Source organism: Homo sapiens, chromosome 5 (genome assembly GCF_000001405.40).
Source record: "Homo sapiens chromosome 5, GRCh38.p14 Primary Assembly".
Lineage (NCBI taxonomy): Eukaryota > Metazoa > Chordata > Mammalia > Primates > Hominidae > Homo > Homo sapiens.
The window spans coordinates 141,118,427-141,146,308 of record NC_000005.10 but is presented as its reverse complement, the minus strand read 5'-3'; the positions used below and the strand labels follow the sequence as shown (position 1 = coordinate 141,146,308).

The 27,882-nt window shown below is 37.7% G+C and overlaps 2 protein-coding genes and 1 further gene across 2 annotated transcripts, besides 2 other annotated features; all 3 read right to left on the bottom strand.

Annotated features, from left to right (window-relative positions):
* Positions 1-27,882, bottom strand: part of PCDHB@ (protocadherin beta cluster) — a 197,972-nt gene that overhangs the window by 103,057 nt on the left and 67,033 nt on the right.
* On the bottom strand, positions 7,694-11,103 carry PCDHB5 (protocadherin beta 5). Its single transcript, NM_015669.5, has one exon. The coding sequence runs from the start codon at positions 10,872-10,874 to the stop codon at positions 8,487-8,489; it is 2,388 nt and encodes a 795-aa protein (NP_056484.2). The 5' UTR covers positions 10,875-11,103; the 3' UTR covers positions 7,694-8,486.
* Positions 8,339-8,871: an enhancer, noted in NCBI's record as "H3K27ac-H3K4me1 hESC enhancer chr5:140517020-140517552 (GRCh37/hg19 assembly coordinates)". NCBI's record gives its function as "activates a minimal SCP1, AML or CMV promoter by ChIP-STARR-seq in primed H9 embryonic stem cells {active_cell/tissue: H9 hESC(primed)}" and the evidence as "EXISTENCE:reporter gene assay evidence [ECO:0000049][PMID:30033119]".
* Positions 8,872-9,405: an enhancer, noted in NCBI's record as "H3K27ac-H3K4me1 hESC enhancer chr5:140516486-140517019 (GRCh37/hg19 assembly coordinates)". NCBI's record gives its function as "activates a minimal SCP1, AML or CMV promoter by ChIP-STARR-seq in primed H9 embryonic stem cells {active_cell/tissue: H9 hESC(primed)}" and the evidence as "EXISTENCE:reporter gene assay evidence [ECO:0000049][PMID:30033119]".
* Positions 20,686-24,491, bottom strand: PCDHB4 (protocadherin beta 4). The gene has a single exon (NM_018938.4). The coding sequence runs from the start codon at positions 24,308-24,310 to the stop codon at positions 21,923-21,925; it is 2,388 nt and encodes a 795-aa protein (NP_061761.1). The 5' UTR covers positions 24,311-24,491; the 3' UTR covers positions 20,686-21,922.

The following is a 27,882-nucleotide window of genomic DNA, read 5'->3' as shown; positions in this document are numbered from 1 at the left end:
CTGGTGTATTCTGGTATTGGAGTGTTCTGGTGTATTCTGGTATTGGAGTGTTTTATAAATATTAATCAGATGCTGTTAGTTGATGGTGTTATTGAGTTCTTCTATATCTCTGCTGATTTTCTGTCTTGTTGGTCTATCAGTTGTTGAAGGTCATTGAAGTCTCCAATTGTAATTAATTGTGGATTTCTCTATTTCTCCTTCTGTCAGTTTTTGCTTCATACATTTTGCAGTTTTGTATATATACATTTGGGATTGCTATGTTTTCTTCTTTTATCACTATATAATATCCCACTATGTCTCTGATATGTCCCATGCTGTCTCTGATGCTTTTCTTTGCTCTCATGTCTACTTTATATGACATTATGGCTACTCCTGCTTTATTAATTAATTTATCTATTCAGTTATTTATTTATTCTTATTTTTATTTATTTATTTATTTTTGAGACAGAGTTTTGCTCTTGTCTCCCAGGCTGGAGTGCAATGGTATGATCTCGGCTCACAGCAACCTCCACCTCCCAGGTTCAAGCAATTCTCCCGCCTCAGCCTCCGGAGTAGCTGGGATTACAGGCGCCCATCACCACAGCAGCTAATTTTGTATTTTTAGTAGAGATGGGGTTTCACCATGTTGGCCAGGCTGGTCTCAAACTCCTGACCTTAGGTGATCCTCCTGCCTCAGCCTCCCAAAGTGCTGGGATTACAGGCATGAGCCACTGCACCCAGCTCCTGCTTTATTTTTACATTAATAATTGTATGCATTTTTGTCTTTTTACTTTCAAACTGCATATATCATTATATTTGAAATTAATTTTGAGACATATAGTTGGGTCATGATTTTTTAAACCCATTCTCCCAATGTTTGTTTTAATTGATGTGCTCAAACCATTTACATTAACATAATTATTGATTAGTAGAGATTAACTCTGCCATTTTTTGTTTCCTGTTTGTTTTCTCTGTTTTTTTGTTTGTCTCTCTGTTTTCATTTTTCTAACTTCCTGTGGGTTATTGGAACATTTTTTTAGAATTCTGTTTTGATTTAGCTGTAGTGGGTTGTTTTTTTGAGTGTATCACTTTTTATAGCTTTTTACTGATTACTCTAGGTATTATACTATATATACGCAACTTATCAGTTTACTGATTGATATCACTAACTGATATTTTTACCAGTTCAAATGAAGCATAGAAAATGTACCTCCCTGTGTGTCCTTTTACCCTCCTTCATTTATAATATGTTTAAAATATTTCCTGTACATACACTTAGGACCACATTTAGAAAGTGTTATAATTTTGGATTCAACCACCAAACATAATTTAGGAACCTCAAGAGAAAAAGAAAAGTCTATTGTATTTACTCATATTTTTGTTTCTTGTGTTGTTTCTTCCTTCTTGATATTCCAAGATTGCTTTTTAAATTGTTTCCTTTCTGTTTGGAGAACTTGCATTAGCAAATATTTTAAGGTAGGTATACTGGCAACAAATTCTTTCCCTGAAGGATAGTTCCACTGGATATAGGATTTGGGGATGACAGTTGTTTTCTTTCAGCACTTGAAAAATATTGTGCAACTTCCTTCTGTCCTCCATGGTTTCTGATGAGGAATCTACTCTCATTCAAATTGTTACTGCCCTGTAGGTAAGGTGTCATTTCTCCTTCACTGCTTTAAAGATGTTTTGTCCTTAGTTTGCAGAAATTTCACTATGATGCCTCGGTGTGGATTCCTTTGGGTTTATCCTGTTTGGGATTTGTTCAGCTTCTTGAATCTCTGGTTTATGCCTTTTGCCAATTTGCTTAGTTTCCAGCCATTATTTCTTTGAGTACTTTTTTTAGCTCCACCCTCCTTCTGGCCTCCTTCTGGGACTCCAGTGACACAAAGGTTAGTTCTTTTGGTATGCCCCCACAGGTTCCTGAGCCTCTGTTCATTTTTTATGCTCTATTTTCTCTGTCCTGTTCAGAATGGGTAATTTCTATTGTTCCATCTTCTGGTTCATTGATTCTTTGTTCCCTCCATTCTGCTGTGGAGCCCATATCTTGAGTTTTTATTTCAATTATTATATCTGGGTTTTTCTTTCTTTTTTTTTTTTTTTGAGACAGTCTTGCTCTGTCACCCAGGCTAGAGAGCAGCGAGGCAATCTTGGCTCACTGCAACCTCCCCGCTTCCTGGGTTCAAGTGATTCTCCTGCCTTAGCCTCCCAAGTAGTTGGGATAACAGGCATGCACCACCACACCTGGCTAATTTTGTACTTTTAGTAGAGACGGGGTTTCACCATGTTGGCCAGGCTGGTCTCGAATTCCTGACCTCAGGTGATCCACCAGTCTCGGCCTCTCAAAGTGCTGGGATCACAGGTGTGAACCACTGCACCCGGCCCCATTATTATAACTTTAATTTCTAAAATTTCCATAGGCATTTCTTTATATCTTTCATTTCTTTGCTGAGACTGTTTTTCATTTGTTTCAAATATGTTCATAATTGCTCATTTAAACATTTTGATGAGCTCTGTTTTTAAAATTTGTCAGATAATTCTAACATCTGTCATCTTGGTGTCAGCATCTCCTTGTTGTCATTTTCATTCACTTTAATATTTTCCTGATTCTTGGTATGACCCAGATAGTCCCTTCCTGGATGTGCCTGTACCCAAAAGGAACCCTTGCCCAAATGTATGAGGCAATATATTCAAGAATGCTTATAGCAGCATTGTTTATAGTAACAAAACTCTTAGAACAACCAAAAAGTAAATCATTAGTAAAAAGAATTTAAAGTTCATAGTATTCCATTTATATAATGGAATACTATAGAACAGTTAAGTGAATAAACTGAATTAACATGGATAAATTCAATACCATAATGATTAAAAAGAGCAAGTTCACAGAGGATCCATACTATATAAATTCATTTGTATCAATTGCAAAGACAGATACAACTAAATGGTAAGTCATTTAGGAATACATGCTTTTCTATTGCAAATATAAAGAAGAACAAACAATTAAGTAAAAATTCAGAAAACTGGTTCTTTTTCATAGGGTTGAAAGATGTTATGGTGGAGGCATAACATCTTGGCATCATTCTAGTTCTTAAGCTGGGTAATGGGTAGATGAGTGACCATGTTATTATTGTTTATTATTATTATTGTACATATATGTTGTATACACTCTTTTGAATTTTGATAGATTTTAAAATAGAAAAAAGTAAAAACAAACAAACAGCAATTTCTGAGCTGGGCATGGTAGCATCTGCCTGCTACTCAAGAGGCCAAGGCAAGAGGATCACTTGAGCTGAGAAGTTGAAAACCAGCCTGGGTAACATAGCAAGACCTTGTCGCTAAAAAAAAAAAAAAAGTTCTTTCATAAAAATGAAGCAATTTCTCTGGAGTCAGGCTGCCTGGATTCAAATTCTACTTCTGCCTCTTATTAGCTAGGTGACTGTTGAAATCCTAACCCCCAACGTGATGGTAGGAAGTAGGGCTTTGAGTGGCAATTAGGTCACGAAGAAGCAGCCCTGAATGAGATTAGTGCATTTATAAAAGTGATTCCAGAGAAGAAGCAGCCCTGAATGAGATTAGTGCATTTGTAAAAGTGATTCCAGAGAATTCTCTTGCCTTTTTTTCTGCCATGTGAGGATACAAGGAGAAGTCTGCACTCTGAAACCTGGAAGAGGGCCCTCACCAGAACTCAACCATGCTAGCACCCTGATTTTAGACTTCCAGCCCTAACACTGTAAGAAATTACTTTCTGCTATTTATAAGCCACTCAATCTATAGTATTTGCTACAGCAGCCCAAACTGATTAGGACAGTGACCTTGGGCAAATTGCTTTACCTCTGTGTGCTCCAGTTTGTTCACCCTGAAAATATAGACACTAATTGTACCATTATTTTGACGATTAAATGAGTATGTATAAAGTATTTAGAAAATAGCCAAGTACACTGAAAGTATGTAGTAGTAATAATAGTACATAATATATAATAATGTTTAATAATAAAGTTCGTAGAAACTTGAATATGCCACTAAGACTAAAAATTCATTAGAAATGCTCAAAAATAAAGTGAGAGACTTCAGAACATAGAAGAAAAGCTAAAGATGTAAAATAAAAAAGAATATAAGAAACAGAAATAATTAAGAATATTCAATATCTGACAAGCACAAGTTTCAGAAGGAAATAACAAGATTAAACTTAGGGATACAACTATTAAGAAAATAATAGTAGAAATGGGCCAGGCACAGTGGCTCACACCTGTAATCCCAGCACTTTGGGAGGCTGATGCAGGTGGATCACTTGAGGCCAGGAGTTTGAGACCAGCCTAGCCAATATGGTGAAACCCCAACTCTATTTTAAAAAAAAATTAGCTGGATGTGGTGGTGTGTGCCTATAGTCCCAGCTGCTCAGAAGGCTGAGTCAGGAAAATCATTTGAGCCTGGGAGGCAGAGGTTGTAGTGAGCCGAGACTGCAGATTGCACCACTGCACTCCAGCATGGGCAACAGAGCAAGATTTGTCTCAAAATAATAATAATAATAGAAATGAAGTAATCCCAGAGATAAAAAGGTATAAATTGTTAGAATCATAAGTACATTGAGTGTTCAGTCAAAGGAATGAAAAAATTATAATACTATTATGAAATTCAAGACATCTAAAAAGAAGAGAGAAAATTCTGAGGGAAGGAGACACAGAAGATTCCTTTCTCTACAGAAATATGGAGAGAGAGAGAGAGATGGGGGTATAAAAAAATCAACAATCACACTGGCATAAAATTTTTATCAAAAATTATGAATCAATAATCAACACATTAATGATTTTAAATTTCCAAGCAATAATTCTGTGTCTGGCCAAATCATCAATTAAATATGAAGGAAAACTAAATGCATTTTAGGCAGAGACACAGAAATTGGCTTTTTTGTGAACTCTCCTTTAGGAAGACATTTCAGGATATATTGTAGCAAAGAGAGGGAATAAAAAGGGAGACAAGTGATCTGTTAAATAATGCACTCAACCAAGAGAGGTATGAAGACAAGATGACAGTTTTGTACAGACCTAAAGATCATTTAGTCCAGATGGAAGCAGAAAGCTAGAGGGCTTCAGGTTAGAAAAGATGGTAAAGTGAATTATTGATTGAGATTTTGAAAATATGGTAAAGCCAACTAATGGAGTCTAAAATGATGACTCTATTTGGTCTTGATTTTAGGAACATAACTGTTTTCAATGGTACAGGAAGTGCAACATTGGATCCAAAGAGCAGGAAAGATAGTCCCTATCACTAAAACATAAAGTGAGAGACATCAGGACATAGAAGAAAAGCTAAAAATGTAAAATAAAAGAGAAATATAAGAAACAGAAAAATAAGAATATTCAATATCTTTTTTGTTTGTTTTTTAAATTTTTATTAAGAATATTTAATAACAGACAAGCACAAATCTCAGATGGAAATAACAAGATTAAACTTAGGGATACATTATCAAGAAAATAATAGTAGAAATTAAGTAATCTCAGCTCTAAGATTACTTAGATCCATAAGCAATCCCAGACTATACTTAGAGGTTTCAGTAAGTAATATGGCTCTGCAATGAACAATATTTTGAGAAGAGAATCAGCCCAACAACGTGGAACTGTTCTGACACTCACAGGTTGGCCATAATCTTCTCCTATTGAATGCAAATAATTTCATATAACACCAAGACCAGAAAATAACCTTATAACCCGGTTGGAGCCAGACTTCATGCCTGAGGAGACAATGTCTAAAAAAAAAAAAAGAAAAAGACAAAAGAGCTCTTTTTCCTTGCTAGTATGAGTGAATGCTGCTTATTTACCAATTATAGATTTAATTTCAGTGTTTTTCCCACTTCTTAAATGAAATTCATTAAAATAATATAGAATTACCCAATTTTCTGAAAGCATCCAATCCAGAGCTAACCTCTACTTCTTGAACCTCTGTTAAAACCACCTAACAGAAGACCAAATCCTATAACTCCTCTGCAAGACCCTGTTACTAAAGTGACCTCTGTTTCCTATTGTGTGCAGTCTCCTTCATTGCAACAAGTCAATAAACCCAACTTTGTTCTGATTCGGTGTGTTCTTGGTGATTTGGGACTGCAGGGCATTCATAATTTATATAGTCATTAAAAGTAAATTTTAAATATTATCTTCTAAAATATATCTATAGATGGCCAGGTGTGGTGGCTCACACCTGTAATCCCAGCACTTTGGGAGGCCAAGGTGGGCGGATCCCCTGAGGTCAGGAGTTCGAGACCAGCCTGACCAACATGGAGAAACCCCATCTCTACTAAAAATACAAAAATTAGCTGGGCATGGTGGCACATGCCTGTCATCCCAGCTACTCGGGAGGCTGAGGCAGGAGAATCGCTTGAACCCGGAAGGCGGAGGTTGCAGTGAGCCGAGATCGTGCCACTGGACTCCAGCCTGGGCAACAAGAGCTAAACTCCGTCTCAAAATAAAATAAAATAAAATAAAATATATCTATAGACAAGACAAGGAATTCTTAGCTATGGTTGTAAAAATAAAATGTAAGAGTAGAAGTTCAACTGAGAGAGGTTGGAAAGTGTTAAGAGAGAAACAGATATAAAAAGAAGAATAAGAATGCTATTCTTTTCTTCATACAAAAATCTAATGAAACTGTTGTTACTGGAACAATAAAGAAAGGTTTCAGATTGACCAGAGAAGTACCCAAAAATAGTAATATAGATACCTCTGAAAAACAAAAGATTGAAGTTGTTTTAAGTGTGCTAGTTACTCAGCAATCATGATAGGAAATTAATTGTCTAAAGTTTGTGAAAGTTACTACATTAGTTTGTGATGGCTGCTGTAACAAATACCACAGACTGGGTGGCTTAAACAACAGACATTTCTTTCCTCCCAGTTCTGAAATCTAGAAGTCCAAGATCAAAGTGTTGGCAGGGTTGGTTTCATTTGGAGGCCTCTCTCTTTGGCTTGTAGATGGCTATCTTCTTCTAGTGTCTTCACATAATCATCCCTCTGTGTGTTTACATGTCTGACATCTCTTTCTCTATGTTCTAATCTCCTCATCTTATAAGTACAGCAGTTATATTGGATTAAGTTCTGCCCTAAGGACCCATTTTAATGTGATTACCTGTTTTTAGGGGCCTATCTTTAAACATAGTCACATTCTGAGGTAGTGGGAGTTAGGGTTTCAACATATGAATTTGAGGGGGATATAGGAACACAGTTCAGCTCATAATGGTTACAAACATATTCCTTAGTGATAAGCAAGTAAATATAAGAGCTTTAAAAACTGTATAAAGTGCTTGCCAATGGGATAAAATGAAAAACAGACAATACCAGTTTGTTGGCAGAAATGTGGAAAAATTTGTACATCCAGACACTGGGAATAGCAATGTAAATTAGTACAACCACTGGAAGACTATTGGGAAATGTCTGCTAAAAGTCAACGTGTACTTGCAAGATGGGCAACAATTCCACTCCTAGGCATATACCCAACAAAACTGCATATACAGGTTGGCAAAAGGCATGTTAAAAGAATGTTTATAGCAGTATAATTCATAACAGCCAAACTTTGCCCCATCCCAAATACTGATCTAAAGGATAGATAATAAACTGTGGTATATTCATACAGTGGAATATTATACAGCAATGAGAATGAAAGGACTAAACTTAAAAGCTGTATTATGGATAAATTTCATAAACATAATGCTGAGTGAAAAAAGCCAGACACAAGCAGTTCATACTTTATTACTCCATTTATATAAATTCAGAAGAGGCAAAATTAAACTATGGTATTGGAAGTCAGCATATTTGCTATACTTGGGGTAGTAGTGATTGTAAGGAGTAATTTGTGTGGCACCTGGGGTGCCAGTGATGTTTCATTTTCTCTTCAAGCTGCTGGTAATAAATATGTTACTTTGTGAATATATATTGAGTTGAACATAAAGGATTTGTTCATTTTTCTTCATGTAAGTAATAATTCAATTAAACTGTTTTTAAAAAGTTTGCTAATAGGACTCAGGGCTGCAAAAAAGAGTAAATAGAAGATTGTTTCCTTTTACATATTTTTTCACATATTTCATTTGTTAGCATATGTATGTATTTGTCTTTGTTTTAAACAATTAAAATATGATGATGTGAAACATTTTTAATTTTTGCATTTTAGCATCAAATATATAATACTTAAGAGTGTGATGAAATAGAATGGGCAGAATATATAGAAAATAAAATTAATACTTGATTTTATTAAGGTGGTTTATCACAACAAATACCAACAAGAAGAGAAAAAAATCTCAGGAAAATCAACAGCATGCATGGATTTGGAATGACACTATGTAAATAAATGCAATGAAATAAAATTGACTTTTCAACACTTGGACAGCATGAAGTTCAACAGACAAATCCATTAAAAAGGGAAATAAAAGCTCAATCTCAAGGTGAAATTTTTGTCCATGACACTCTCGAATTCTAGATCTGAAAAAGTTTGGGATAAATGGCAGAAAACAACGCGTCATCACGAGATCTCTAATTTAATCCAAAGCTATTCCGGAAGGCAGCAGTTTTCCCTATTTCTTCACCAGCGCCCTGGGGCAAAAGGTTAGGAATAATCGGCTTCAGGAACTTGAACTCGCCGGCCCCTGAGTCTCCGGTCAAACACACCTCGTAGTGGTAGCTCTGGGATAGGGTCCCGGTGCCGCTCACGTCCACCAGATGCCCTGGAAAGGGGCCCTCGGGCACCGAGCAGCGACCGACCGGGGCCGCCCTGCTCCTCCTGCACAGCCGCACTGCCACGAACAGGAGCACCGAAAAGAGGAAGAGCGACGACACCGAGGCCAATGCCACCACCAGGTAGACAGTGAGCGAGTCGGCCTGGGCCTGGGCCGGGGCCGCCTCCGGCAGCGGCAGGTAGGGCTGGGAGAAGCCGTCCACCAGGAGCACGTGCAGCGTGGCGGTGGCCGAGCGCGGAGGCTCGCCATTGTCCTTGACCAGCACCACCAGCCTGTGCTTGGCCGCGTCGCGCTCGCTCAGCAGCCTGGCGGTGCGCACCTCGCCATTGTGCGCCCACATGCTGAACAGCCCGGGCTCCGTGGCCTTGAGCAGCTGGTACGACAGCCAGGCGTTCTGGCCCGAGTCACCGTCCACCGCCACCACCTTGGTCACCAGGTAGCCCGGCTCGGCCGCCCGGGGCACCAGCTCGGTGCAAGGCGCCGAGCCGTTCTGCAGCGGATACAGCACGAAGGGCGAGTTGTCGTTGGCGTCCAGCACCAGCACGCGCACCAGCGCCTCGCTGCTCAGCGCCGGGGAGCCGCGGTCTGTGGCTCCCACGCGGAACTCGAACGCCTGCAGGGCCTCGTAGTCCAGCGACCTGAGGGCAAACAGGTGGCCGTTGTCCGCGTTGATGGAGACCAGGGAGGCGAGGCGCAGGTGTGGGTTCTGGGGCGGCAGCAGCGAGTAGGTGACCTGGGCGTTGGTGCCTGAGTCTCTGTCTGTGGCGCTGACACTGCCGATGTGCAGGGCGGGGCTGTTGTTCTCTCGGACGAACAGGGTGTAGGAGGTTTGGGTGAAGGCGGGGGCGTTGTCATTGACGTCGGAGACCAGGACCGTTATGTTGTGCTCGGTTTTCAGCCTGGGTGTCCCCATGTCGGTGACAGTGATGGTGATGTTGTACTCGGCTTGGCTCTCTCTGTCCAGTGTTCTCTGTGTCACTAGGGTGTAAAAGTTTTTTAATGTGGGCTTCAAAAGAAAGGGGAGATCATTCTGGATGGAGCAAATCATCCTACCGTTGTCCCCGGAGTCTGGATCAGAAACACTGAAAACGGCAACTACAGTTTCCGGGGCATTTTCTGGGGTAGGGCTGGAGAGCGTAGACATGGTGAGTTCAGGGGCGTTGTCATTCACATCCACCACTTCTATAGCCACAGTGCATTTTCCTGAAAGGCCCCCACCATCTGTGGCTACAATTTCCACGTTATAATATGGAGTTGCCTCGAAATCCAATGCCCTTTTCAGGCGAATTTCTGCTGTTTTCTCGTCTATTACAAATGGTTGAGTAACTTCATCGCCTTGGAATAGAGCATAGGCTACACTCCCATATGCTCCTGCATCTAAATCTCGAGCGGAGACAACGACAACTAAGGAGTTAAGGGGGCTGTTCTCGGGCACCTGTACCTCATAGAATGATTGTAAAAATTCGGGGGCGTTGTCATTATTATCCAAGACGACAATGCGAATTGTGGTGGTCCCGGACCTGGGCGGAGCCCCACCGTCCAGTGCAGTGAGTGTTAAGCTGAGCTCAGGCCGCTCCTCCCGGTCCAGCGCTTTGTCCAGCACCAGCTCTGGGTATTTTCTGCCATCTCCGCGATTATGCGTAGCAACATGAAAGTGTGAATTTGGGCTGATTGTGTAGTTCTGAACAGTGTTGCTACCTATGTCAAAGTCCTGGGCTATTTTTAAGGGAAACACAGTCCCTGGCTGGGTGCTCTCTGGGATTTTTAGGAGCATTTCCTTCTCTGGGAACTCTGGGGCATGGTCATTTATATCTGTGAGCTGCAGATCAGTTTGAAAAAACTGCACTGGATTTTCTAGTAAGAGCTGGAAATGCAATATACAGGGTTCTGTCGCCCCGCACATCACCTCCCGGTCTAGTTTTTCATATAGAAGCAAATTGCCGGTCTTTATATCAAGCTGCAAGAGCTCTTTGTTTCCTTTGTAATGCATTCGCGCGCCCCGAGTGGCCAGTTCCCCCACCCCAAGACCCAGGTCTTTTGCCAGGTTGGCCACAGAATAGCCACTTTCTGTTTCTTCTGGTATGGAATACCTAACTGCCTCAGAGCCAGCCTCCCACAAAAGCAACAATATAGCAAGAAACATAACTTGCCTTTTCTGTGGCGTTTTTGCTAGCGCAGTCTCCATTGTTCAGACCCGGTCCAGAAGGCGCAGTTTAACTCCGTACACAATCCACCCAGATGATTTGCATAAATAACCGCGAATCCGATCTTTCTTGACTGATTTCCACAAGAACGAAGCCCACCCTGAAGATCTAGCCACTAGATCTTACCTAAAATGCGTCCTTCTTTTAGAGTTTGGATTCCCCAGCTTAATGGCGTCTGAGTTATCCGCAGAGCCCACTATCCACACTCTTAGCCTGCAGCGCCACCAGGCGTCCTAATTTACTATTGCATATAGTATTTGCCATTTCATCCTAAATTCTAACTGACGTGTATCCATACCCTTTTGTCACATAAGCTCTCCCGATGGTATCTCCAGCTCTTAGTTGCTGAAAGTTCTAAATAAATGTTGTGGAGTTAATTTTCAGTGAGAAAATACTTTTGAGAAAAAAACTAAAATTATATATTAATCTCCATAAAAGTACCCTTGAGTACACAAATACACTTTGTTTGGTGTTTCTTATTTGATTATATTAAATAAGTGATCAGGAATATCTATAGAAATTTAAAGTTTAAGAAAAATTACTTTCACTTTGAAGTAAACACCAATAACACCCAGAAAATGGCACAAATCATAGGTGTATAACTCAATGAATTTTCGCAAAGTGAACACACTCCTGTAAGTAGAACCTAGATTAAAAATACTACCCAAACCCAAGTCCCCACCTGCTATTGTCTGGTTACCACCCTCTCCCCAAAAGATAAGCACTGTCCTGACTTCTGTTGTCATAGGTTTTTTTTGCTTTTTTTTTTTTTAACTTTATACAAATGGAGTTATAGATTGTTACTCTCGTGTGTCTGGCTTCTTCTCCTCAATATTATGTTCAGCAAATTGATCTGTGGCATCTTGTTCTTATTTGTTTTATTCTCATTGCTTTATATCATTCTGTTGTATGAATATACTATGATTTATTTATTCATTCTCCAGTTGATGAACATTGTTTTCCAGGTTTAAGCTCTTTGGGGTAGTACTGGTATAAACATCCTTGTACTAGTCTTTTGGTGACCACATATATGTGTTTATGTTGAATATATTCAAAGGAGTTGGATTGCTATGCATTAAGATGTGCACATATATTTTGCTTTAGCAGATAATGAGAAAGTTTTCTCAAGTAGTCGTACTAATACCAGCAAAGTATGAGAGTTCCAGTTGCTCCACATTCTTGTCAACATTTGATGCTATCTTTTCCATTTTAAACCACTCTGGTTAGTGTATGGTGATATGATATTGTAATTTTAGTTAGCATTTTCCCTGATGATTAAACAATTTGAGCACATTTTCATGTTTATCAGCCATTAGGATACAATCTTGTGAAGGGCTTATGCAAACCTTTTTACTTTTTTGGGGGGAGGCATTTGCCTGTTTGCTTATTGATCTGCAGAAGTTTCTCATATATTCTGGGCATAAGTCCTTTTTAAGATATATGTATTGCAAATATCTTTTCCCACTCTATGGTTTTTATTTCAAGTCTATTATGTGTCTTTGATGAATAAAATTTCTTACCTTTAGTCAGATTTGTCAATAAGTTTCATGTATGATTAGCATTTTTTTGTGTTCTATTTAAATGTTCACATACTCCAAGGTCATGAAAATATTCTTGTATGATGTATTTTGAAAGATTAATTATTCCATTTTTCATATTTAAAGCTATAATCAACCTGAAATTAACTTTTCAAGTGAATGAGTTTGGAGTCAAAAGGTTTAAAATGTAAGTATCTGAATGCTTTAAACCTTTGCACCATCTATTTAAAAGACAATCCATTTTCCATTGTTTTTGAAATGTCATCTTTGTTATAAATTAGGTAACCATAGCTCTGAAGATGTTTTATTCAATCTTGTTTATCCTACAATAACTCATTGTGTTAATTATTATAGCTTTATCATGAGTTTTGTTATCTGAGAAGTAAGTTCTCCAGTTTTTTAAAAGTAGACTAAATTTTTAGAATGGTTTTTGGTTCACAGCAAAAATGAGAGTAAAGTACAGAGATTTCATATATGCCCCTGTCCCCACACAAGCACAGCCTCACCCATTATCAACATCCTCCACCAGAGTGGTTCATTTGCTACAGCTGATGAATCTACATTGGCACGTCATTATAACCTGGAGTCCATAGTTTACATTAGGGCCCATTCTTGGTGCTGTATATTCTATGGCTTTGGACAAATTTAAAATTATGTGTATTCACCTTTATAATATCATACAAAGTAGTTTCACTGCTCTAAAAATCCCCTGTGCTCCACTTATTTATACCTCCCTCCCTCCCCTAGAACCCAATGCAAGTGGATTTTTTTACTGTCTCCACAGTTTTGCTTTTTCTAGAGCACCATGTAGTTGAAATCACACAGTATGTAGTCTTTTCAGATTGGCTTCTTTCACTTAGTAATATCCATTTAGATTTCCTCAATGTCTTTTCATGGGTTGTTAGGTCATTTCTTTTTGATGCTGAATAGTATTCTATGGGTTGAATGAACTGCAGTTTGTTTATCTATTCACCTACTAAACGACATCTTGGTTGCTTCCACGTTTTGGCAATTATGAATGAACTGCTATAAACGTCTCTGTGCAAGTTTTTGTGTGAACATAAATTTTCAACTCCTTTGGGCAAATACTAAGGAACATGAGTGCTAGATAACATGGTAAGAGTATATTTTGTTTTGTATCAAACTGCCAAACTGTCTTCCAAAGTGTCTGTACCATTTTGCATTCCCACCAGCAATGAATGAGAGCTCCTTTTGCTCTCATTACCAGCATTTGGCACTGTCAGTGTCCTGAAGTTTGGTCATTCTAATAGGTGTGTAGTCATATTTCACTGTTATTTTAATTTGCATTTCCCTGTTAACATATGATATGGAGCATCTTTTCATATGTTTATTTGCCACCTGTATACCTTCTTTGGTGGGTGTCTCTTAAGGTCTTTGCCTTATTTTTAAATTGGGTTCTTGTTGCTGAGTTTTAGTCGTTCTTTGTATATTTTGAATAACAGTCCTTTATCAGATATGCCTTTTGCAAATATTTTCTCCTAGTTTATGTCTTGTCTTTTCATTCTCTTCATAGTATCTTTTGCAGAGCAGAAAGTTTTAATTTTAATGAAGTCCAGCTTATTAACTCTTTATTCTGCGGATTGTGACTTTGGTGTGGTATCTCTAGTTTGGTTCCTTTTCATCAGGGTTCCTTTGGTTATTACTGTTTTTGTATTTTCAAATAAACTTAATGCTCGGCTCATTAATTTTCACAAAGAAAGCTGCTGGAATTTTGTTTAAGATTTTATTGAATCTATAGATTGACTAAGAGATAACTGACATATTCCCAACATTGAGTCTTCCAATTAGTGAACATTGTATATTCCTGTAATTATTTAGATCTTCTTTAATTTTTCTCATATTTTAGTTTTCAATGTAGAAGTCTTATACATATTCAACTAGATTTGTTTATAAATAGCTGCTATTTTTGAAATTATTGTGCATAATGTTTAAATTTTTCACTTTTTTTGTTGCTAAATAGAAATAGAACTCATGTTTGTATGTTGACCTTGTATCCAGTGGCATTGTTAACTTCATTTATTAATTCCAGTAGCCTGTAGATTCTTCATGGCTTGCAAGGTATACAAGTATGTCCACTTAAAAAGACATTTTTATTTCTTCCCTTCGAATCATAGTGCCTTTTATTCCTTCTTTGCTTTATTCCGCTGTTTAGGACCTGTGATAGAATACTAAATTGGAGAAGAAAAGACAGGTATCCTTGTTTCATTCTTGATCTCCAGGGGAAAATTTTTGAAAATTTATTGTTAATGATGTTTCCTGTAGGTTTTTAAAGTCACTCTGAAAGTTCCCTTTGATTTTAGTTTGCTAATAATTTTACCACTACTGTGTGTTGAATTTTATCACATGACTTTTTTCTGTATCCATTGAAATAATCATGTTTTGTTCTTTATCTTTTAATATGGTAAATTACAATGATCAATTTTCAAATATTAAACTGCCTCTGTATTCCTAAAATAAACTCCATTTTCCAATTATTATTTTTCTTTTATACATTTTAAAATTTTATTTGCTAATATTTTTAAAAATGAATTTTCCATACATATTTATAAAAAAGAATAGTAATTTTCTTTTCTTATAATATCCTATTCAGGTTTGAATGTTATAACCTATTCAGATTTATGCTGGCACCCAAATGATTTGGAAAATGTCTATTTTTCTACTCTCTGAAGGAGTTTGTACAAATTAGTGATAATTTTGACATAAGTATTTGGGAGAATTCACTGCTGTGAATTAGAGTGGGAAGGTTTTTAATGAACAACTTTAATTAATATAATAGATATGACTAATCAGATCTTAATTTCGTCCTGTTTCAGTTTCGGAAAATTGTGTTTTTAAAGGATGGTTTCTGTTTTACATAAATTGTCAAGTTTATTGGCATAAAATTGTTCATAATATTTCTTTTTTATTTTTTAAATGTCTGTAGGTTGGTAGTTGTGTTTTTTTTATCCTGATATTGGCAGTTGGTGTTTTCCCTCTTTTTTTCTTGATTAGTCTAAGAGTTTTAAATTTTAATCATTGTAGAAACCAACTTTTTGCTTCACTGATTTCCTCTGTTGTATATTTGTCATTTATTTTGTTTCTGCCTATGTGTGTGTGTATAAAATTGTCTTCCATCTTTATTTGCATTTGATTTGCTGTTCTTTTTCTAGCTTCTTGAGATGAAAGCTTAGATTATTGATTTTTAGCCTTTCTTTTCTAACATGTGCATTTAAGATTTTAAATTTCCCTCTAAGTACTGTTTTGATACGCCAGGTGTTAATTTTTCCCCGTTCAAAATATTTGGAAATTTCTGTTGTGATTTCTTTTTGACTCATGGATTATGCAATTTGATTTTAAAATATTTGGAGATTTATTATATTTTTATTTCTGGCTTAATTCCACTGTGGTCAAAGAACATACTCTAAGTAGTTTCAATTTTTTTCCCCCCCAAGAAGGAGTTTGCTCTGTCGCCCAGGCTGGAGTGCAGTGGCACGATCTCAGCTCACTGAAACCTCCACCTGACGGTTTCAAGCAATTTTCCTGCCTCAGCCTCCCGAGTAGCTGGGATTACAGGTGCCTGCCACCATACCCTGCTAATTTTTGTATTTTTAGTAGAGACGGGGTTTCACCATATTGGCCAGGCTGGTCTCGAACTCCTGACCTTGTGATCTGCCCGTCTCTGCCTCCTGAACTGCTGGGATTACAGGTGTTAGCCACTGTGCCTGGCCTCAATTCTTTTTTAAATATTTGAGACTTCATTCATGACAAAGAACATGAACAATTTTTATATATCCCACATGCATATAAGAAGAATGTGTATGCTCCAGTGTGCTATGCATGTCAATTTATTTGAATATGATGTTCGTGTGGTTCGGATCTTCAACATTTTTTGTATGTGTGTGTTTTTTCTTCTTATTCTAACAGGAATTGAGAGAGTTGTATTCAATCTCCCTGTGTAATTGGGTTTGTCTACTTTGTATTTGTATTCTATCAACTTTATATATTTTGTAGTTATCTAATTGGGATGTATTCAGTCTTAAAACTAACATATTTCTGGTATATTTACTTCTTTATGATTATAAAAAAACTTCTCTTTATCTCTAGTAATGTATCTTTCCTTAAAGTCTCTTTTGTCTTATGTAAATACAGCTACCTAGATTTATTTTGGCTAGTGTTTATATTACTATATACCTTATCCAATTCTTTTAAACCTTCACTCTTTCTGTGTTCACACACACACAATTTGATAGCATAGAGTTGAGTTTTTCTTTAATCTAGTCTGACAATTTTTGTTGTTTAATTGGATTATTTAATCCAAATAAAATTAATACAATATCTGATATATTTCCATTTATGCTTACCATCTAATTACTTTTCTATTTGTCACTAAAGTTTAATTTTTCTTTTTGATTATTCAGATATTTTTAATTTTTCTTCCTTCAATTAGTGTTTTATTACTTTGAGGATTATCCAATAAATTACAGCATGCATCTTCAATATACAAGAATCTAACACACGTTAGTAATTTTACTACTTCCATGATAATGCTTACAGCCTTAACACTTTTTAACTCTATTTATACCTTTGCCTTTTACATTATTGTTGTTATAAATTTAAATTTTACATATAATTTAAATCCTTTAAGAAACTAGTATTAATATTATTGCCTTGTATAATCAATATTCAATCAACATTCATGTACATTGACCTTTCTTATTGCTCTTCATTTATTCCTGCAATTCTGTGATTTCTTTTGGATTGTTTTCCTTCTGCCTAATGCATTTCATTAAAAGCATTTCTTGGCCAGATGCAGTAGCTCATGCCTGTAATCCCAACACCTTCAGAGGCCAAGGCGGGTGGATCCCTTGAGGTCAGGAGTTCGAGACCAGCCTGGCTAACATGGTGAAACCCTGTCTCTACTAAAAATACAAAAATTAGCCAGGCGTGGCGGCACATGTCTGTAATCCCCTCTACTCAGGAGGCTGAGATGGGGAGAATAGCTTGGACCCAGGAGGTGGAGATTGCAGTGAGCCGAGATTGTGCCACTGCACTCCAGCCTAGACAACAGAGTGAGACTCTGTCTCGAAAAAAAAAAAAAAAGTATTTCTTTTAGTGCAGATGTGACTGTCGTTAATTCCCTTCATTTTTGTCTGAAAACTGCATTCATTTTTGAAGGATATGTTTGCTGGCAATAGAATTCTAACCTGGTAGTAATTTTCTTTCAGGACTTTAAAGATGTCATTCCTTTGTCTTTTGATTTCCTGATTTATGTTGAAAAGTCAGCTCTCCATTTTACTGATGCTCCTTTAACAGGAATGTTTTATTTCTTACATGGTTGGTTCTTAAATTATCTCTTTGACTTTGGTCTTGAGATGCTTTCCTATGATATGCCTAATTAGGCTTTGTTTTTATTTAGCCTGTTATTATTTATTTCTTGAATATCTTGAAGGATTAAGGATTTTCACCAGTTTTGGAAAATTCTTTATCATTATCTCTTCAAATATTGCCTCATGCTTGTTCTCTCTTTCAGTATGTTAGAGTTTTTAAAAATTACATTCCACACATCACTAATGTTCTTTTCTGTATATTTTATTATTTTATTCTCTGTGCTTATATTTGGATGTTAATATTGAATTGTCTTGCATCCACTAATCCTGTATCATTTTATGACTATGACATTAAACCATTTAAATAGTTTTAATTTCAGATAATATAATTTTTCAGTTCTAGAATTAACTTTCACTTTTAAAGTTCAATTCTCCAGTGAAATTATCTCCTTATTTTCTCTATTGTTCTTTATTTTTAACATATTAGTCTTACTTATTTTAATATCATTCAGTTAATTTTAATATCTGAATCATTTATGGGTAATTTTTATTGTCTTTTTTTTCTCTCGGTTTTATTCATGTATCCAGTTTTTGGTGTGTGTACTTAGGAATTTTTTATTGAATGTTGAATATTTACATAAAAAGCTATCCAAGGTTAAGATATTATCTTCCTCCAACAAGAGTTCACCTTTTCCACTGTTAACTTGATAGAGTTCTGTCTAAACAAATCATCTCAACTGAAACAGGCACTGGGCTTTGTCAAGGTTCTTTGCAGTCCTGATAAGCACCTGGCTCTCCAGAATTTTCAGCTGAGAACTTGGTATATTCTCCACAGCCCCTTCCCATGGCAGATCCTAAACTCTAATGTTTCAATAGCAAGACTATTAAAACTTCACTTTCCTTTTCAGAAATTTTCCAGTTAGGATTTTAGTCTTTTTCTCTGGGCTTCCCTGAGTTTGACAAGTGTCCTGAGGGGAAAATTTGGCCATGAACTTGAATCTTCCAGTCAACCCCAACAGCTATTGAAGTTACTCTGTCTCTGACAAAAGCTTTTTGTTTGTTCTCAGACTTAGCATATTTCCTCAGGGTAAAACTCCTGTCAGGAGTCAGTTTTCACCTCCAAGAATTTTCCTTCTCAGGAATCTTGGCCCATTCAGATCTTATTATATTATCTGTTTTCAGTTACTTCAAAACAGATAATTTTACATTTTAACCAATTTTTAGAGTTGCTTTCTGCGGCTAGATAATCCATCTACTCTGGAAGCAGAATTTCACCAAATATATGCATAGTTTTAACCTTAGACTATTTAAAATATATTTTGTAACTTTTGATAGTAAAAGAAGAGGGGATCATTTTGTTCTGTTCTGTTTTGTTTTGTTTTGAGACAGGGTCTTGCTGGGTCTCCCAGGCTGGAGTGCAGTGGCCTGATCATAGCTCACTGCAGCCTCAAACTCTTAGGCTCAGGCAATTTTCCTGCCTCAGCCTCCCAAGTAGCTGGGACTACAGATGTGTGCTACCATGACCAGCTAACTTTTTGTTGTGGTTGTTGAAACAGGGATCTCACTATATTGCCCAGGCTGGTCTCAAACTCCTGGCCTCAAGCGATCCTCCCCACTTGGCCTCCCAAAGTGCTGGGATTACAGGCATGAGCCACCACACCCAGCCAAGGAGAGGGGATTCTAAATTGATATGGGCTACGTTGCCTTCAGAATTTCTGTCTCCAAAACAGTGTGTGTTAAATTCACTATATGCTGTGCCTAAAAATAACAGTAGCAGGGGAACTGTAAAAGATGCATATATAATAGATTAATTTGAGAAAATACCTGTTGGGATGGGTGTTATTATCAAGATTCTTGGCCTCCATTCTCTAATTTTGTTCTGTGACAATAGAACTGGCCTATTTTCATAAGGTATGCATGTTGTGAAAGTTATTTGGATCGTGTTTACAACTAAATTCTAATAATTGAATTTTTAAATGTTGATCTATACTACACCTAGCTGGTAAGGAATGAGTCATGCTTTATGAATACCTCCAAGGATGATGTCGGTTTGGGGTGTTTATTTGAACGGTCTCATTTGGGTGATTATACGAATTGGACTTACCCTGCATAAACAACAAAAAAAATGATTTTGGACTTTCATCATGTCAGTATATAGTTGGTGAAAACTTCAACCAGATTTCTTACTTGTCATCATAAATAAAAGCTATTTCTTTTTTTTAAAATTTTTTTGAGACAGAGTCTCACTCTGTCACCCAGGCTGGAGTGCAGTGGTGTGATCTCTGTGGCTGGAGGTGCGGCTCACCACAACCTTCACCTCCCGGGTTCAAGCAATTCTCCTGCTTTAGCCACTCCTGTAGCTGGGATTACAGGTGTGCACCACCACACCCAGCTAATTTTTGTGTTTTTTTTAGAGACGGGATTTTGCCATTTTGCCCAGGCTGGTCTTGAATTCCTGGCCTCAGGTGATCTGCCTGCCTCCCAAAGCGCTGGGATTATAGGCATGAGCCACCACACCCGGCCTCAAAGCTATTTCATTTAAGTAGCTAATAATAAATGGAAGAAGACATTAAAGTTGACTACCATATTTATGTCTTACATATTTGTATGTTATATTCTGTTCTCACTTTATATCTTCTTCACTTTGATTTTTAAATTGAATAAATGCTAAAAAATATGTTTCAAGAATAACAGTCAATTTTCCTTTTTATTTCATTACACGTTTAGAAAACAAGAGTAATTCAAGGAAAAGTGCAAGTAATTTAACTCCAGTAGGATGATACTTGAGATTTAAAAATAAATGTTAGATTATAAAGCAAGTTCTTCAGTTGCTCATATTCTGCCAAAAGTAAAATAGAGGTGTACTATAGTTATATCCATACAACTTTACCTAGCTTACTGGGCTTACTGATCACAGCATAAAACAATTTTAATTCAGATAAATTTATTACTGTTCCAGTCTATACAAGGACAAAATAATATTTATTTCATGCAAGTGCAACTTTGGCATAATTGAGAAGTTAAATTAATTCAAAATAACTGAAGGTTACCTTAAAGAACAAATTAAAATAATTAAGCATTTAAAAATTATTTTTGTAAAGGCTGTCCATATCTGCAAAGTAATGTACAGTGAAAAACCTGAGATCAACTGATTATCAGATTTAAACAGAATAGCCAAGGTGCAGAAGAAATTTCGTGATTCTTTTGAAAGATGGGGAGAAGCTGTAGGAAAACCAAAAAATATACACATATTAAAGTATACTTGGATTTCTATTTATAGGGAGTAAAAGGTAGCACAAGGAGACCTATGATGCTCTCAAGAGTCTTGATTTTGGGGAGAAATTTAGGGCTTATTTCAGATTCTGAGATTTTTTTTTAAGATGATATCAGGCCATGATTTAACAGTTTTATTTATTGAAAGGTTATGACAAATTATATGAGATTTTTCTCTTTAAAAATTATTTATAAATAAGTTATTTTTACAAAATTTAATATTAGCATTCATGGAACATTACAATGTGCTAGGTAAGTAGCAACCAAATAAACAAAATAATCACTAGACATGTGGTGGTCACAAGAGGAAAAGGACCACAATTTTAGTGTATTACCAATGTAGTGAAGTGCATGTTTATATACAATTTGTGAAAAATGAGTAAACTAAATTTTACACTCATGGCTATTAAGAGGGCTTAGCCTAGTATAGTCAACCAGAAAGGACAAGGTAATTATAAAGTTAAATACAAAACTTTCAAACACTCTGGCCTTGCAAACATTAAGTTACATGGTAAAGACAGGCACAACAAATATTTAGAAATTCAATATTCATATATTCACTTAAATGTTCCATTAAAAAGATGTTAATTTAAGAATTTCATTAAAACATAATTTATTTTTATCCTAATTGAGTAATTTATGATTACAAAAAGATTAATCACCAATAGATCAAATATAGAGAAAATCCATACTCAATATCCAGTATAACTAAAAATGTTAAGTGCAATTAATAACAATAAAAAAGGGACAAATTTAGCTTTATCAGGGACATGAGTAGGTTTGAAATTGTGGTATGAATATTTAGATAAGTAGACAATTTTTTTAAATAAAGGCATTGCAGTGGGAAGTTTGACAAAACTAACGGGCGGTTCACTGAACTAAATACAATACTTAACTGAATACCAAGCTATTTCTGAACTTGGGGTTTTCCTTAACTTCCCTCCCGGTGTCCTGAACCAAGAGATTAGGAAATATTGGCTTCAGGAACTTGAACTCACCAGTCCCAGAGTCTCCTGTCAGACACACCTCGTACTGGTAGCTCTGGGACAGGGTCCCGGTGCCGCTTACGTCCACCAGATGCCCTGGAAAGGGGCCCTCGGGCACCGAGCAGCGACCCACCGAGGCCGCCCTGCTCCTCCTGCACAGCCGCACCGCCACGAACAGGAGCACCGAGAAGAGGAAGAGCGACGACACCGAGGCCAACGCCACCACCAGGTAGACGGTGAGAGAGTCGGCCTGGGCCTGGGCCGGGGCCGCCTCAGGGAGAGGCAGGTAGGGCTGGGAGAAGCCATCCACCAGGAGCACGTGCAGCGTGGCGGTGGCCGAGCGCGGAGGCTCGCCATTGTCCTTGACAAGCACCACGAGCCTGTGCTTGGCTGCGTCGCGCTCGCTCAGCAGCCTGGCGGTGCGCACCTCGCCATTGTGCGCCCACACGCCGAACAGCCCAGGCTCCGTGGCCTTGAGCAGCTGGTACGACAGCCAGGCGTTCTGGCCCGAGTCGCCGTCCACCGCCACCACCTTGGTCACCAGGTAGCCCGGCTCGGCCGCCCGGGGCACCAGCTCGGTGCAGGGCGCGGAGCCATTCTGCAGCGGGTACAGCACGAAGGGCGAGTTGTCGTTGGTGTCCAGCACCAGCACGCGCACCAGCGCCTCGCTGCTCAAAGCCGGAGAACCGCGGTCTGAGGCGCCCACGCGGAACTCGAACGCCTGCAGGGCCTCGTAGTCCAGCGACCTGAGGGCGAACAGGTGGCCGTTGTCTGCGTTGATGGAGACCAGGGAGGCGAGGGGCAGGTGCGGGTCCTGGGGCGGCAGCAGCGAGTAGGTGACCTGGGCGTTGGTGCCCGAGTCTCTGTCTGTGGCGCTGACACTGCCGATGTGCAGGGCGGGGCTGTTGTTCTCGCGGACGAACAGGGTGTAGGAGGTTTGGGTGAAGGCGGGGGCGTTGTCATTGACGTCGGAGACCTGCACGGTTATGTTCTGCTGGGTTTTCAGCCTGGGTGTCCCCAAGTCAGTGACGGCGATGGTGATGTTGTACTCAGCGCTGGTCTCTCGGTCCAGTGGTCTCTCTGTTACCAGGGTGTAAAAATTCTTCAAAGTTGGTTTTAGAATAAACGGTAGATTATCTGGAATAGAGCAAATCATCTTTCCATTTTCTCCGGAATCTCTATCTCGAATTCGGAAGATAGAGACTACCGTCTCAGGAGCATTTTCTGGGATGGAGCTGGTGAGTGAAGATATGATAAGTTCTGGGGGATTGTCATTCACATCCACCACCTCTATGACTACAGTGCCTTTTCCAGAAAGGCCTCCTCCATCTGTGGCCTCAATTTCTACATGGTAAGATTTAATTTTTTCGAAATCCAATTTTTTTTTCAACAGTATTTCTCCCGTGACTTCATTTATTGAGAAAGTTTGTTTAATTTCATCTGATGCTTGGAATAAGCCATAAGAAACACTCCCGAAGTTTCCAGCATCTATATCTCTAGCTAAGACCCTAACAATTGGAGAGTCTAGGGGGCTGTTTTCCAGGACCTGCACCCCATATGGAGTGTGCACAAACTCAGGAGCATTGTCATTGATGTCCATGATCAGGATTCGAACCATGACCGTGCCAGACCTAGGTGGTGACCCACCATCCAGCGCCACGAGGGTTAAGCTGAACTCAGGCTGCTCCTCTCGATCCAGTGGTTTGTCCTGCACCAAATCTGGGTATTTCTTGCCCTCACTATGATTTCGAGTGAGAATGTGAAAATGAGAATTGGGGCTGATTGTGTATTTTTGAAGACCATTGCTGCCCACATCCAAATCCTCAGCTATTAGCAACGGAAATAGAGTACCCGGCTGGCTATTTTCTAGTATTTTCAAGAGCACTTCCCTTTCAGGGAATATTGGAGAGTGATCATTTATGTCCTGGATCAATAATTCTCCTTGAAAAAATTGCACCGGCATTTCCAGGAACACTTGGAAATGCAGTACACACGGTTCAATAGGACCACAGAGCTCTTCCCGGTCTAGTTTCTCCCTCAGAAGCAAATCTCCAGTCTGACGATCCAGCTGCAAACGCTGCTTGTCATCGTCAGACAGCACCCGGGCTGACCGGGAGGCCAGTTCCCCAATTCCCAGGCCCAGATCCTTGGCCAGATGGGCTACAAAGGAGCCGCTCTCTGTTTCCTCCAACACAGAATAACGAATAGGCTCGAGGCGAACCTGAGACAAGAACACCATCAAAATAAAGGCCAACACTTGCCTGTTTGGATGAATTCTCCCTAGCTTCTTCATGTTGGAGTCCAGGTCCCTATATCCAATCCCCTCAGCAACCGCAACGAGACTTGAGACATTCAATTCCAATTTCTTGCTTGGAGGAATCGTCACACAGTTGCTTTTAATATTAAATTTGTTTAGTATATCGCTGCCCCAAGCCGTTGGTAAACCTGCACTGCTTGTAACGCTTCTTCCGTGTGTTTTTGATTGCGTCTAGCGACACAGAAGAATACGCGCGAGCTTTTTAGGGCTCATTATTCACAACTTAGCCTGCAGCGCCACCCTGCGTCTTGATTGAGAAATTAACAACTTCAAGACAACGTATTTGGGAAGTTTTAAAATAAAAGCCATTTTTAAGAGCATAGAATTTTTACAAACTTTGTTACATTAAACTGCATAATTTAAAAGGTTATTTAATTACAGTGCACGAACCAGAATAATCATGAGCACAAATCAAGAAGATATCTCAGACTCCCCACACGCTTATCAGTGAAACTTCAAAGAACTCCATTTCTTCTTTACATAATCCAGCCACAGGAGACAAATTTTTATACACTTTCAATTCAATTCTTAGTAGTTATAAATGTTCTTTTCTAAGAATGTGAGGACTTTGTGATGATGCAAAAGTTTAAGATGTTCTCTATACATGGTCTAAAGCGCGACTACCTTTGAAACGAAAGGTTCTATTTTCCTACTTTAATGTGCAAATAGTAATACAGGTGAATAGACAGGTATCTTGTTTTGTATCAAGTAATTTATAGTGTGAACCTACATTGAACCTAGGAGTAAGGCAAATAGTATTAGAATCACAGATTCTTAGAACTAAAGAGGAAATAAAAGATAAGGAAACTAAAACTGAAGCTCAGAGGGTAACAGGACTTGATTATTCTATGTGACTATTATGAGGATAATGTCAAGACAAAAGTGAGTAACAGTCACAGAATTTTGTGAAGATAAAGGCTTTAAGCTGAGCTTATTTAGCAAGATAGATGTAATCTATATTTTACAATGAGTTTGCCTGTTACCACACTCACCTTTTGTATCCCAGATATCATATTCCTTGACCAGCTAATTTTGGGGAAAACAAGAAGCACTGATTTAAAATATTTTATTCTGTGACCAAAGGGTGACTTAGGCTGTCTCTACTCAGATATGGTGAAGTAAAGAGACTTGTGTATAAAATGGATCCCACCACAGTGTGTAGCTACTGTGATTACTCTCAAACAATAAGAAAGAATGGTACCACTGAGACACAGTTAACCAATTTATTGGTTGCAATTAATACACTGAATGGAGCACCACTTATCTTGCCACATATAAGATTTTCTCCCCTTAAATATCTTGTTATTTTATTTAGTTATCCAATTCATATAAGTAATTATAATTTATAATTCATGTTAAATTAATTCTTTTTAAAGCATGAAATCTGAGATTTCAGATTCTGATAGTGATAGAAAGTATTAGTAAAAATTGTGAAAGATACATGGATTTTATTTAGTAAATACCAGTTGAATTAATAAATTAATCCACTCAAATGATGTTTTTATCTATATAAGCAGATTATTGTCAGATCATATATTCAGCCTTGAACATGTCTGAAACTGAATACAGAATTTTGAGAATATAATACATGCTAAGCATTATATAACTAAATTTACTTTGATTCTATTTCTATTAATTAATTCCTATAAGGGATATATCAATGGCAGTAATAATAATATTAACATCTTAGAATTTTCTTTCACATTTAAAGTAAATCAGAAAAGATACACTATGCATCACTATTAAATGAAAAACAATAAAAATATATACTGAAAAGAATAAAAAGAAAGAGTATTATTTTAGACATAACTGGAAAACAAATCTCCTGGGCAAATCAAAGAGAAAATTGTTTCTAATATAGTAACCAGGTTTTAGTTAGATTCAAGTTAATGCATTCAGGACAAAATTCAAACCATATTTTGTTTACTTATTCCTACATGTTGACATAGAGTAAGAATTGGGTCTTTTCAGTTCCTTTTGCAATCCAAAAGTAAATGAAATCTCAATAACATTAACATATATATCCACTATACACCAGATATTTTTCTAAGCATTTTGCGTATGTTGACTCATTTTATCACCCCAACAACCCTATGAGGTGGGCAGTCTTATTAGCCACATTTTAAAGACGAAGAATTGTGGCACACAGAGTTTAAATAATCTGTCCAAAGTCATACAGCATGTGAAACGGCAGAGCCAGGATTTAAACTGTTACTATGTGACTCCAGAAACCATTCTTTTCTATACCTAAGCAGAGCTGGAGAGGTGAACAACTTTTCAGATAATTTAGATCCCAACTTCAGCCTTGCCTTGGGTACATGGTTATCATAGGTGAAATATATTTATATTCAAATTTTCAATTATTATTAGAAACTTAAAAATTACTTGTCTCCCTTTAGAGATAGTTAGTTACCAGTAAAGAGAGATGTTTATACAACTTACACATTGGAAGGAAAACTAATACTCAACATTTTTGTCGAGATCATTATCAGGTGAAAAAAATGAAGAGTGACATAATGAATTACTCATAGCCTTAAACATTGGATAAAAATATGTATAGATCTTTTGAAAAGTTGTTTAGGTTCTGATAAAGGGTTTAAGGTTACAATCAAGAAGCGTGGCCTAGAAGAATGGCCTAGCATATTATGCCATAGTTTATTTCCCTAAACTGCCATATTTATCAGAAAAAAAAGATCTGTTATACCTGAATGGAGGATAAGCTAATGATATAAGATAAGCTAATGAAGTAAAGAATGAGCACCTGAAAACTATTTCACACCAGTCAGAAAAGCTGTGTTATCCATTCTGAAGGATTCATATGACTATTTACATAATTGGTTGCCAGATCTGAAGCATGATATTTAATTTTTTTCATTTTAAATATACAAAGAAAGATAAAATAGAGGGATACGCAGGAAACTAGTTGCTCTCTGGTAAAATATAGGCAAGAACCTTATCGTTGAAGAAAGATAAAAATCATTTTAAAGAAATTTGAGGCTGGGCATGGCAGCTCATGCCTGTAATCCCAGCACTTTTGGAGGCCAAGCAGGAGGATCACTTGAGGTCAGGAGTTTGAGACCAGCCTGAGCAACATAGCAAGATCCTGTCTCTACAAAAAAAAAAAAAAAATTATCCAGAGGTGGTGGCATGCACCTGTAGTCCCAGCTACTTGGGAGGCTGAGGTGGGAGGATTGCTTGAGCCTGGGAGATTGAGGCTTCAGTGAGCCATGACTGTGCCACTGCACTCCAGCCTGGGTGACAGAGTGAGACTCTTTCTCAAAAAAATAAAACCAAAAACTACTAAAATAAATAAATGAGTTCAGCAAGCTTGCAGAATACAAGATCACTATACAGAAATCAATTGTATTTCTATACAGTAGCATTGAACAAATCAAAAATGAAATCAAGAAAGCAATGGAATTTATAATAGATATCATCAAAAGGAATAAAATGCTTAGGAATAAATTTAACAAAAGAAGTGGGAGAACTGAACACTGAGCACTACAAAACATCATTGAAAGAAATTAAAGAAGATCTAAGTAAATGAA

Excerpts from the sequence above, each read along its gene's own strand:
- PCDHB5 (NM_015669.5), bottom strand. The coding sequence starts at position 10,874 with ATGGAGACTGCGCTAGCAAAAACGCCACAGAAAAGGCAAGTTATGTTT.
- PCDHB4 (NM_018938.4), bottom strand. The coding sequence starts at position 24,310 with ATGAAGAAGCTAGGGAGAATTCATCCAAACAGGCAAGTGTTGGCCTTT.